Source organism: Homo sapiens, chromosome 9, assembly GCF_000001405.40.
Source record: "Homo sapiens chromosome 9, GRCh38.p14 Primary Assembly".
NCBI lineage: Eukaryota > Metazoa > Chordata > Mammalia > Primates > Hominidae > Homo > Homo sapiens.
Window position 1 is genome coordinate 102,156,137 of NC_000009.12, and position 14,305 is coordinate 102,170,441.

A 14,305-nucleotide genomic window follows, 5' to 3' on the forward strand; every position below is an offset into this window, starting at 1 on the left:
ATATGATTTTTATGTTTTATTCTGTTGATGTAGTATATCACATTTATTGATTTTTATATGTCAAACCATCCTTGCATTATAGGAATAAATCCCACTGTATGATCTTTCTAACATGCTTTTGAATTTGATTTGCTAATACTTTGTTAAAGGTTTTTGCATCTATGTTCATTGGGAAAATTGGCCTATTAGTTTCTTTTCTTGTAATGTCCTTGTCTAACTTTGGTATGAGGTTAATACAGGCTTTTAAAATGAGTTTGGAAGCATTTGCTTTGCTTTAATTTCTTGAAAGAGTTTGAGAAAATTTGGTATTAAATCTTTAATGTTTGGTAGAATTTATCAGTGAAGCCATCAGATACTGGGCTTTACTTTGGTGGGAGTTTTTGTTTTTATTACTAATTCAATCTCCTTGCTTATCATTGGCCTATTCAGATTTTTTAATTCTTCATGATTCAGTTATGGTAGGTTGTATGTGTCTAGGAATGTATGCATTTCTTCTAAATTGTCCAATTTGTTGGTTTATAATTATTCATAGTAGTCCCTTATAATCCTTTGTATTTCTGTGGTATCAGCTGTAATTTATTCTCTTTCACTTGTGATTTTGATTATTTCTGTCTTGCATCATTTTAATTTAGTTAAAATTTTATCAATTTTGTTAATCTTAAAAACTCTTAGTTTATTTTTCTTGCTTTCTATTGTCTCTATTTTATTTATTTCTGCTCTAATCATTATTATTTCCTTTTTTACTACCTTTGGGCTAAGTTTGCTCTTCTTTTTCTAGTTCATTGAAGTGTAAAGTGAAATTGCTTACTTAAGAATTTTCTTTTTTGTCACAGAGATGCTAATTGCTGTGCACTTCCCTCTTGGAACTGCTTTTGCTACAACACATGAACTTTGGTATATTGTGTTTCCATTTCTACCTGTCTCAATACAGTTTTTGACTTGTTTTTACTGTTTGATCCTTTGGTTGTTCAGGTGTAGGTTGTTTAATTTCCACATATTTGTAAATTTTCCTTCCGTTATTGATTTTTAGTTTAATACCATTGTGGTCAAAAGAGACGCTTGACATAATTTTGATTTTCCTAAATTCATTTAGGCTTGTTTTATGGCCTAATATATAATCTATTTTGGAGAATGTTCCCTGAATGCTTGACAAGAATGTATATTCTGCTGCTACTGTTGAAAGAAACATTCTGTATATGCCTGTTTAGTTCATTTGGTCTAACATGTATTTCAAGTTAAATGTTTCCTTATTGATTTTCTGTCTCAACGATCTATCTATTATTGAAAGTAGGGTATTAAAATCCCCTATTATTGCATTGATATTTCTCTCTTCAATTCTGTTAATATTTGCTTTATATATTTAGGAGACTCAATATTGGGTGCATAGACTTAGTTACAATTTTTATATCCTTTTGGTAAATTGACCCCTTTAACATTACATAGTGACCTTCTGTGTCTCCTGTTTTGAAGTAGTCTATTTTGTCTGACATAAATATATATATTATTTCTTTTTTTTTTGGTTTTCATTTGAAATACCATTTTCCATTCCTTCACTTTCAGTCCACGTAAAGCTAAAGTGAGTCTTGTAGGCAGCATATAGTTGGGATAATTTTCTGTAATGAATATAGTATCTTATAATTAGGAAACATAGTTTTTAAAAATATGTAGGAATGTTACATTAATATGTAAACTATGTATTGTAGAAATTTCCATCCTATCATATTAATCAGATAATGGGTTATCAACTAAATGAAGTACAGAGAAATACATACTCATCACAATGATCTCATCATAGGTACTTTTTGTTTAGTTCAGCAGGACAAATAAGGGTCATAAATTTTAACTTTAAAATAAGCTATTGAATTGTACTCACAATAACCACTAGTACTGTTACAAAACAGCGTAAAAGTATGTTGAGTCTGGCATCTTTGTAAAATGGTTTATTAGCAATAAAACAACAGATCAATGGAGGAAACAAGCGTATGCCCGTAGGCAGCAAAGTTAATCCAAATGCATAAATCCTTATGAAGACTTAACAGAGAGTAATAGAAAAGAGCTGAGGGAAAATAAACATAATAGATGAGACTGGCATGATATATCTCAAGTTTATTGCAATATAGTACACGAAGAATGGAAAAAGAGAGCCAAGTGAGAAAAAAAAAATAAAACTAGACAAAGGAAGAAGACAGAACGAAGAAATAAGTTGGTAAACAGTTACAGATTCTTAAAAACAGAGTTCATGCCCTTCTGGGATTTACTTCTACAAAATTTTCTGTGAGTGGCTTTCCCATCTCTTCATTAATGATTCCAGTGACAAAGATCTCACCACTCAAAGGCAGCCCTTTCCACACATGAATGGTTCTAATTATTTTATGAGTGTTCCATATTATTTTTGGTAATTTCAAACATCTTGTAAATTTTACCCATAGGTTCTTATTCTCCAGTAAATTAAATAGAGTACACGTTAAGTATTGTTTTCACCCTGTAGCTCTCCTGATAGGTAAATAAAGCAAATATTGATCTTTCACTTTTTTATTTTATAAATTTCCCTCTCACTTAAGTAGTTGTTATGTATGCTTTTGAAGTGCTCCACTAAAGTGGGCTCCATCTTTAGTGGTGCCACTCATTTAGTAAGGTGCTCCTCTGTCCTTTGCCATTTGCATGTTCTCTGGTTTATCAAAATCTTTCTGAAAATGCAGCTCATTGTCATGAACAAAAAAATTCCACCTATGGTTTTAGCAACTTGAGGTTGAAAGGTACCATAACTTCAGCCAATCCTTATGCTACATTTTTTATGATATTGTAGTCATAGAGCCTGTTAGCATTTTTGACAGCCATATAACATGTTTTACTTATATGTTTTCTGAAATTTAGCATTTCTAATTAAGTCTTTTCACACTTGTGTGGTTAATGTTTTAGTTTTGTGATGACCATACACTTCCTTTTTATTGATTTGGTCTACTGTTCTGAATTTTGTGGCTCCTCATTCTGTTTTTCAAGAAAGTTGTCTCCTATATATTTAAGCTTTCATATTAATTTCTCCTTTGGTACATATGTGTTCTCTGCATTCAAATAAGTGACAGATACATCTTTTGATAGCAAGGAATAATAGCAATGCTCTGTAACAGTCATTAGCTTTCGCCATTGATGAGGTGACTTGCGTTTATATATCCCTGACCACACCTGGTAAATTAGTTAAGCTTTTCATCTTCTCTACAAGAATAATTTGAGAGATTGTTTCAAATTATTTCCTGAATTTTAGAGTTGCTACATTTACTATACATCTTGACTCCTTATTCTACTGTTTATTTTAAAAGAGGAAATGAGGCTAGTATCTTATGACTTGTTTTGGTGAATTCATGTTGGTTCCCATTTATCAAGATCTATCTTTCTGAAACCTCCATTACCTTTCATTTGAAGATGTGTTTTATACATCTCTGAGGATGGTACATTAATCTCAATTCCCTCTGCTTTTAAAAAAATCAGGACTACTTTTGATGGCCATTATTTTTATAGTTCTCTTATGCTTCAAGTTGGTTAGTGGTAATGACTATTATTTATAAAATGTATACTTTTTAAATTTCAAAATAATCCCTTGCAATAAGACATTTTCTTCTTTGCTCCTTCAGATTTTATTGTATAAACATGGAGATAATCTTAGAAAATTTGCTTGGAAATAGGCATCCAGTTAATAAGTAGGACTCATTAAAAACTTTCACCTGGTCCTTTGATCCCAGATTTAGGCAATTTTTCACCTTGCAATAGCTCTCAATTGTAATTGGATAGCCTTATTTATAAGTTTCTAAAGAATCTGGAAAAGTACAAATGGTATTTTTACTTGTATTGAACTTTAGGTTTTTAGATCTTTTGTCTGAAGACTGCTTCCCTGAAAAAGAAAAAAAGAGAGAGAAGTAAACATAGAGATTAGGTATTATTTTCTGATATTATTTTTACTTGTTACCCCTGACCTTAGGATTATTCTTTTGAGATCTGTGCCTCAAACATAATTATAAATGTCCTTTTTTATGTTAAGTGTTTTCTACAAGTCTTTTGCTAATAGATCTTAAACAATATGGTATAATTTGTATTGATTTTTGTCCCTATGTATCTGTTGTCGGGCCATTATTCAATACATGGCACATTTTTTATTCTTTGAACTAGTAATTCAACCTTTAAAAATATATCCTAAGTAAATATTTGCACCTTCATATAAGAAGAACTTGGAATGTTACTGCAGTATTGGTCATTATACTGTCCATCAACATGGGAGTGAAAAAATACTATGCAGCTATTAGAAAGAATAATATTGATCTATGTATTAGTCCATTCTCATGCTGCTACAAGGAAAAACCCAAGACTGGGTAATTTATAAAGAAAATAGGTTTAATTTACTCACAGTTCCACATAGCTTGGGAGGCCTCAGGAAACTTACATTCATGGCAGAAGGGGAAGCAAACATGTCCTTCTTCACATGATGGCAGGAAGAAGTGCCAATTGAAGTGGGGGAAAAACCCATTATAAAACAATCCGATCTCATGGGAACTCACTCACTATCACGTGAACAGCATGGGGGAACCACCCCCATGATTCAATTCCCTCTCACCGGGTCCCTCCGATGACACGTGAGGATTATGGGATTATAATTCAAGATGAGATTTGGGAGGGAACACAGAGCCAAACCATATCATTCCACCCCAGCCCCTGCCAAATCTCGTCATCACATTTCAAAACACAATCATGCCTTTCCAACAGTCCCCCAAAACCTTAACTCCTTCCAACATTAACCCAAATGTTCAAATCCAAAGTCTCATCTGAGATAAGGCAAGTCCCTTCTGCCTGTGAGCCTGTAAAATTGAAATCAAGTTAGTTACTTTCTAGATACAATGAGGGTACAGGCATTGGGTAAATACACCCACTCCAAATGGGTGAAATTGGCCAAAACAAAGGGGCTACAGGCCCCATGCAAGTCCAAAATCCAACAGGGCAGTCACCAAACCTTAAAGTTCCAAAATGACCTCCTTTGACTCCATGTCTCACATCCAGGTTACACTGATGCAAGAAGTAGACTCCCATGGTTTTGGGCAGCTCTGCTCCTGTGGCTTTGCAGGGTACAGCCCTACACCTGGCTGCTTTCACAGGCTGATATTGAGTGTCTGTGGCCTTTTCTGGTGCACAGTACAAGCTACTGATGGATCTACCATTCTGGGGTCTGGAGGATGGTGGCCTTCCTCTGACAGCTCCACTAGGAAGTGCCCCAATTGGGACACTGTGTGGGGGCTTCAGCCTCACATTTTCCTTTACACTGTTCTAGCAGAGGTTCTCCATGAGGGCCCTGCCCCTGCAGCAAACCTCTGCCTGGACATACAGATCTTTCCATACATCCCCTGAAATCTAGGCAGAGGTTCCCAAACCTCAATTCTTGCCTTCTGCACAGCTGGTGGCCCAACAACACGTGGGAGCTACTAAGAGCTGGGGCTTACACCCTCTGAAGCAAAAGCCTGAGCTATACCTTGGCCCCTTTTAGCCAATGCTAGAGTGGCTGGGACTCAGAGTACCAAGTCCCAAGGTTGCAAACAGCAGGTAGGCCTAGGACTGGGCCCAGGAAAACATTTTTCCCTCTGCCATGATTCTATTACCGCCCACCAGGTCCATCCCATGACATGTGGGAATTATGGGATTATAATTCAAGATGAGATTTAGATGGAGACACAGAGACAAACTCTATCAATTTGTGTATGTGAAAATAGGAGTATCTCTCTAAAATAAATTAGTAAGTGAAGGAAGTAGAATAATATTATGACAGTAGCTAACTTTTGTTGTTTTTTTTTAACCATGTGGCATGGTTCTAAGTACTTCATATGAATTTATGAATTTCATCTTCACAACTGCCCCCTGAAGGAGATATTATTATCATCTACATTTTACACATAAGGAAACTGAATCACATAGAAATTACATAATTTTCTGATGGTTGCATAGCTAACAAGTGGCAGATTTTGGATATCTATCCAAGATAACTATTGGTCTGAGTCAGTACTTACAATCATGGGTATATTGCCCACAAATAGCTAATGAATGATGTATTTGATGAGCTTTTATCCATGAAAATATAAAGTGTCAAATATTAATTTGTATATATATACATGTATAAACACATACACTTTTTTTCCCTATAAGAAAGCACAGGAAACTATTGTTAAACTCTGGAGTTGAATCTGACAATCCAGAAAATCACTGAGATTTACTTTTTCCAGTTTGAAAACATGAAAGACTCACTTTTATAATGTTTGAATATTTTACTATGTTTATTAAGTCATTTCAATAGTAACAAAGGAGAATTTGAAAACATTGCTTTAAAAATTTCAATGTTATCTAGTAATTAATGTGTAAAAATTGAGAATACTTCCTGATGAAACAGATCTCTACAACCTTCTTAGGGAATCCTGCTTGTGTTTCTTCAGGATGTTTATTATGAGTTTTCTTATAATCACAAATGCATATGTGAATGTATCTGGCCATTCTTAATCAAATTCTAAAAATAAAATACTTTCTCCAAAGGCTTTACTTACACTTCACTAACCAAAAAAAGTTTTTTTAATTGAATAATAAGTAGAATTTTCCATTTGTTTGTTTAGCTACTTTCCTTAGTATAATAAATTGTAAAAATAAAAAGTGAAGAAATTATGAGATATTCTTCTTAAATAGAATACAACTTTGAGATATTTAGAATTTTCACAAATTATACTATTTCAATTTTTAACTGATATTAAGAATACATCACACATTTTCCCATTTTGTCAGATTTTCTAAAGAACAAGCTTTCAGTGATCTTAGTCTTGTCTCTCTCATCTTTCAGCTTTAATCATATTCTCCACATGGTACATATGATTGGAGGGTTATTAATTTCCTTACAAGTTTATAGTGTCTTTATATTCAGTAGTACTCTGCCTCACTCCTAAAAACTTCATTTTCTTTCACTAAGACATTGTTTTTCTATTCTATTTTTGAACTGTATGTCTCATTTCATCAAGTCATAGTGATACTCAGATTAATAAGATATACATGTATATGTATACATATATCCAAATTAGAATGCTGTATATCATTTCCAGTGTTTGCAAATGTACAGTGAATAGATATGCTTATGCATTGCTAATGGAAATGAAAATAGGTAAAATGTTTGCAGTGTGATTTTTGTGAGATAATCTGTCATCAGTGAATTAATAGTCTCCTTCTTATATTTCTTGAGAGAAATTCTGCTCCCAGTCTCAATCCCGTCATTTTGCTACTTTAATGAATGAGTCATAAATCTGAATCATGCTCTTCCACACAAACCAATTCATCTTTTTTCTTTTCCAAGTTTCTGGAATTGGAAGAAGTATTAAAACGGTCATTGATCCTCAATTCTTCCAGTTTTTTTGAAAACTTATTTTATCATCTTGCTCCATAGGCAGAGCAGAGCTGGAAAACCAGAAAACTTACCTAAGTTTGCCAGGAATCCGGGCTTGGTATTGGGGAGTAGGACTTACTAGTTGATTGTACCATACATAAATTAAACAGCTATTACCACAACATAGACAGCATTTGAATTCCAACTATTGAGCAATTTCGGAGAAATTAAAAATTCACTGGATTGCTAAATTATCCATGGATACACTAAATTATCCATATTGATAAAAGCCATCATATTAAAGTAGACGAATTTGAAGAAAATACATCATTAACTGGCAAACCAGGGGAGAAATTAGTCTTCCTAGGGCCAAATCAGTCAATACATGTTCATTCACCTCAGTTGTTTCGTGTTGTTTCTTCAATATTTTAGAAAACTCAGAAGTTAATTAAACATACAAATGATTAAGTTTAATTAGATATATATTACTGTGTGTATAAATTTGCCAATATGTATCTCTAACATATCAGTATTTCTATGCCTATGTCCTAACCATTTAGCAAACTATATCTAGTTTACTCCTAATATGATTTAAATGAGTCTTATCTATTTCTCCAATCTTTACAAATTCCCAAATTCCAGAATACCTTCTTGTATTGTTACAGTTAAATCTTAAAATACAGCATGAATATGACTATCAAGATTATTTAATCTAATATGAACAGACCAAGATAGTGCCCCACAGAAAAAATATTTCCTGTTCTCCAAAAGAATGACTTTCTTAGGCATAGTCCCAGGCCATGAATAAATAACTACTAGAAATAGTTTCAAATGTATCTCAATCAATCAGACACAGATACCATGCTCTTGGCAGCCAATCAGCAGCAAACACTCCAGAGACAAAGTTTCTACAACTGAAAGCCATCCAGGTTTAGAACATGTGATTCTCAAAGTCCACTAATACCTGAGCTTCTTCCTACTTCTAACCCTATCTAAGATCACTATGTGCATTCTTTGGAGAGACTCACTTTGCAAATGCTACTCTTTCCTGCTGAACAAGCAATAAATTTAGGTTTTCTGTTACAGATATTTGAAACAAAGAAAGATGGTTTCTTCTTCTAACATTTCTATTACAAATAAGGTCTAAATAAGAATAGTTTATTGCAAGGTAAGCTATACACATTTTCTTTAAGGAGAAAAGATAGAAATTTTAACTAATGCTTATTTGTGGGAAAGATATAAAAATTAGAAAAAAAATGTTAGAACTAAACGATAATAACAATAATAAAAACTTGTACACAACTCAAGTAGACACTAGCGGTGATGAATAAAATATATATAAGCAAAAATAAAGATTAAAAGTTAATGAGAATTCAGGAAAGTAAAAAAGATATGTAAATAATAAAATCTGAAAAAGTAGAAATAATTGAAAATAGAAGAAAATATTAAAAATGCAAGCTAAGAAACAATGTAGAGTAGAAAAAAGACTAAGAACATAGACAAACTTGTAGACATATTGAACAGGAAAACAAGATGATAAAAACAACAAATATTAATCATGAAAATGGAGTCCTCTATAAAAAATGATGAAGGGGTGTTTTGAATAACTTTATGCCAATGCATTTAAAGTGTGGCTAAAGTCAATTAAAGAGTCTAGGACTAAGGAATCTCTGAGCAGGCAAAGCCAGTTAGATCTCATAAGTGACTTTAACCTTGCTTGTTTGCAAACATGAATAAAATTTAACTGGAACTATTTATTTAAAATGCCTATATTAAATGACTTATGGGCAACCAATTAGAAGCTGCCAGCTAACTTACATGACTAGAGCTTTTACATCAGGTTAAACCACATAAGGCTACTTGTACAACTATAACTAATCAAATATTTTCTTTGTTTTTCTTCTGTGTTTGTCCTATAAAAAGCCTTCACCTCATGTTCCACTGATGGAGAACTCAGACTTCTTCCAATTTGGAGGCTTGTGACTCATGAATCACTATTTACTCAAATAAACTCTTTAACACTTTATTGTGCCCCAGTTTACTTTTTAACAATGTAGATTAAAAGACAAATTTCATCAAATTGATTCAAGAAAAATAGAAGGCCTTTAAAAATATATTACAATTAAATAAATATAATGTTGCATTTTTATATAAGCCTCCAAAATGTTAAATGATTGTAAAATGTCACCTACATTGTTTTAACAGGTAATATTTTAGTTTATAAATCTAATAAAATTTGATAAATTAAGGTAGGATAGCATAAGAAATTAAATTTGTAAGTAAATAAAATGCTAATGCACATAATCTATTAATGTATATGAAGAATACATTATATTCTAGTGGAATTTATCCTAGAAATGCAAGGTATACTTAATATTAGATAGCTGTTAATATAATTCACCAGAATAATAAATTAAAGGTGATAGCTATATATATTATCTTAATATAGATGCAGAGAAAAGTCAAAATTTAGTACCGATTTTTCTTTATAGTCATTATCATTATAACCATAACTCTTTGAAACCTTAGAAACAATGAACCTTCCTGACTTTATGAAAGGAATTTTTCAAACATGTAGAGAAAATATGGCACTGAGTTGTGAAATGATAGTTCCCCTTGCTGTTAGAAGACAAGGATGACTGCCATTACCACTATTAAGCTTTATAATAGTAGAATAAATTTTACTATGATAGTGAAAAAAATTCATTATTTTTAACAAAATAACTACTATAAAGTTATTATATCATAGCAATAAAATAGAAAAGATAGAGAAGTCATTAGGGCTGAATTCAAGGACCAGTTGTAATTATTTGCAGTTGAGCCAACACTCTGCTTCTAAACTCCAAGACATTCTATAAACTATTAGGATTAGTAAGAGTTAGGAAGGTTTCTGGATGCAAGATTACTACTCCCAAATCAATAACATTCCTGTCTTCCAAATATAAATTAGACAATGAAATTAAAATATATCATCCATGAAAGCCAAAAATGATAATGTTCCTAGGGATAAATCTATCAGGCTGTGCAGAAGTTTTACAGAGGAAGCAATAATATTTACTGAAGGGCATAAAAAGACCTAAGGTAATAGAGAACTATACCAGATTTATAAGAAAATGTATATGACTTGAAGTAGCAAATAAAAACATAAACTATGAAGAAAAAGATTGATACATTTGACTAAGTTAAAATTTGAAAATTATATAAAATAAATTAATAAAATACTAAAGATATTTGTAATACATAGGACAAATAAAATACTGATGTTTAGAATACATAAAGATTCCCTACAGATCAGTATAAATAGAAAAAAAAGAAGAAAAAGCAACAACAAAGTTTATAAAAAGGCCATTAGAAAGAAGAAATTTTAATGCCAAGAAATGTATGATAATATGCTTGAAGTCAGTAATAAGCAAGGTTGTGCAGACCAAAACAACAAGATACTATTTTACTTTTTTAAGATAGGAGAATTGTTAAAGGTCTGTTAATACAAAGTTTAGGTAAAAGGATCGAGGAGTTATAAACTTCCATACACTGATGATGGACTGAAAAATTGGTATTGCCATGTAAGAGAGAAATTGTTACAATTATCACGTAACTGTGAAAATGAGTACACCTTACAATCTAGCATTTATCTTCTCTGTGTAATATAATGTTGAATAAAAAAGTTAAATACCCCACATTCTAAAGGCAATCATCAATACAAGAGATATTGGTAAGACACGATGAGCCAACGTTGTTCACCCCAAGTTGTCACACCACATCACTCCATTCTCCAATGTTCTTGCTCAGGTCTCCAGAAAATAGAGTTAAAGGGAGGAGAGAGATCTTTAGAGGAAATTCGTGCAGGGTATTTTGGGGCAGGATGATGAAAAGATCTTAAATATGCACTCATCATATTGTGAACTACTTTAAAAAAGGGAAACAGCCACTTTATTCTGCAGTTATGTGATTAGTTCCTCAATCATGTGGACAGAATAAGTTAGAAAAATTCACAAATTTACAGGAATAAGGCAGGGGAGAAAGAGAGGGAAAGCAAATTTAAAGAGACAAAGCAGGGCAGAAAAAGAGGATGAGAGTGGAGCCCGCTACACTCCCATGTTCCTTTTGGCGAGGTAGGTTTCTTGTGAGGCAAAAGGAAAACACAGGAGGGAATTGTGTCTGAACCATCCTAAAACATCCCACATTACCGTTTTCTGCCCCAAGGAATAAGAGAATGCAGGGTGATGTGTCTCAGAGCCAGGCCTTGCCACCTACATTTTCTTTTCCTAGCAGTCAACGTCCCAGCTCTAGCCTGGGTTGAGGGAGGAGAGGAGGTGAGATGTAAATGGAGGTTGCAATTAATTAATGCTTTAAAACAAAAAGTTTATCTAAAATGAAAATGTTTAGAATTCGTAGAAGTTATTATGAAGAAACTAGAAGGGGTGATTCAGCAGAATGTTGGTAAAGAGAGTAACTACAAGAAAATGCAACTATTTCATGTTTTATGTACATCTGAATTGAGACTGATGGTTAAACTCACACATGTAAAAAAGGCATGATGCAGGGATTTTCATTGCAGTGTTGAAATGGTGAAAATTAGAACAATGTACGTGCTCATTAATTGGGATATTAACATGGATTTGAGTCAACAAACATGGCCACTAAGTTGTGTAAGACTACATACAGTATGATAATATTTAAAACATTCACTTAAAAAATATATAGTACTATGTTCTTAAGTAAATATATGCTTTTGTTGTTTGCTTGTTTAATGAGATAGAGTCTCTCTCTGTTACCCAGGCTGGAGTGTAATGGTGTGATCTTGGCTCACTGCATCCTCCACCTGCTGGGCTCAAGCAATCCTCCCACCTTAGCCACCATATTAGCTGGGAATACAGGTATGTGCCAGCAAGCATGGCTAATTTTTTTTTTCTTTTCTTTTTTTCTTTTTTTTATAGATGGGGTTTCAACATGCTGTCCAGCCTGGTCTCAAACTTCTGGACTCAAGCAACCTGCCTGCCTTGGCCTCCCAAAGTGTTAGGATTATAAGCGTAAGTCACCATGCCCGGCCTACAAATATGTATTAATACTATATATGTGATAATATAAAATAGGCATAGGGAGGATATTTATTAACAGTAGAATGGGGGAGGGGCAGTATTCAAAGAAATGAAGAGTCTCAGCAACGTATAATGTATTATTTCTTTCAAAAAAGAAAGATGTGATCCAAAGTTTGTGTAGTATTAACTTGATTTTTTAAGATAGTGAGTATCCTGTTATCTAGCATATTATTTTGTGTAATTAAATATTTAAAAGTTTTAAATAAAAATAATACAAATACATTTTGAAATACTTGACTATAAAATTTAGTTGAAATTGTAATGTAGATAATGCTAAATTTTTAGACTTTTATTTTTAATTGACATAACATCATACACATTTATTGGGTAGTTTGTGGTATTTTTTATATATATATATATACTTTGTAATGAGAAAAACAAAATAATTAACAAATCCATCACCTCAAATATTTATCATTTATTTGCAGTGAGAACATTAAGAATCCTTTCTTCTAGCTGCAGTCACGCATTGCTTAACCATGAAGATTTGTTCTGAGAAATGCGTTGTTAGGCAATTTTGTCACTGCATGTACATCATAGAGGGTACTTAACAAACCTACTTGATATAGCTGACTACACACCTAGGCTATATGGTATAGCCTATTATTTTTAGGCTACAAACCGGTACATCATGTTACTGTAGTGAATACTATAGGTAATTGTAACACAAATTGTAAGCATCTGTGTATCTAAACATAAAGGTACAGAAAAATACACTATTATAATCTTACAGGACTGCTGTCCTATATGTGGTCTTTCATTGACTACAATATTCTTATGTGGTGCCTGACTGTATTTTGAAATATAGAATACATGATTGTTAATTATAATCACCCCCTGTGCAATGGAACACCAGAACTTTACTTCTATCCAACTGTCACATTGTACCCATTGGCCAAATTCTCCCCATATTTTCCTCCTTTCTACCCTCCCTAGCTTCTGGTAACCACTTTTCTGCTCTCTACTTCTATGAGATCAATGTTTTTAGATTCCAAATATAAGTGAGATCATGTGGTATTTGTCTTTCTGTGTCTGGCTTACTTCACTTAATGTAATGTCCTCCAGGCTCATCCAAGTTGACACAAATGACAGAATTTCATTCTTTTTTGTGGCCAAGTAGTATTCCATTTTTTTTTTTTTTTTTTTGGTCTTTCCTTTATTTTTATTTTTTTAACTTTTTTTTTATTATTATACTTTAAGTTCTAGGGTACATGTGCACAACGTGCAGGATTGTTACATATGTATGCATGTGCCATGTTGGTGTGCTGCACCCATTAACTCATCATTTACATTAAGTATATCTCCTAATGTTTTCCCTCCGCCATCCCCTCACCCCATGACAGGCCCCGGTGTGTGATGTTCCCCTTCCTGTGTCCAAGTGTTCTCATTGTTCAATACCCACCTATGAACGAGAACATGCGGTATTTGGTTTTTTGTTTTTTCAATAGTTTGCTGAGAATGATGGTTTCCAGCTTCATCCTTGCCCCTACAAAGGACATGAACTCATCCTTTTTATGGCTGAATAGTATTCCATGGTGTATATGTGCCACATTTTCTGAATCCAGTCTATCATTGATGGACATTTGGGTTGGTTCCAAGTCTTTGCTATTGTGAATAGTGCTGCAATAAACATACGTGTGCATGTGCCTTTATAGCAGCATGATTTATAATTCCTTGGGTACATACCCAGTAATGGGATGGCTGGGTCAAATGGTATTTCTAGTTCTACATCCTTGAGGAATCTCCACACTGTCTTCTACAATGGTTGAACTAATTTACAGTCCCACCAACAGTGTAAAGTGTTCCTACTTCTCCA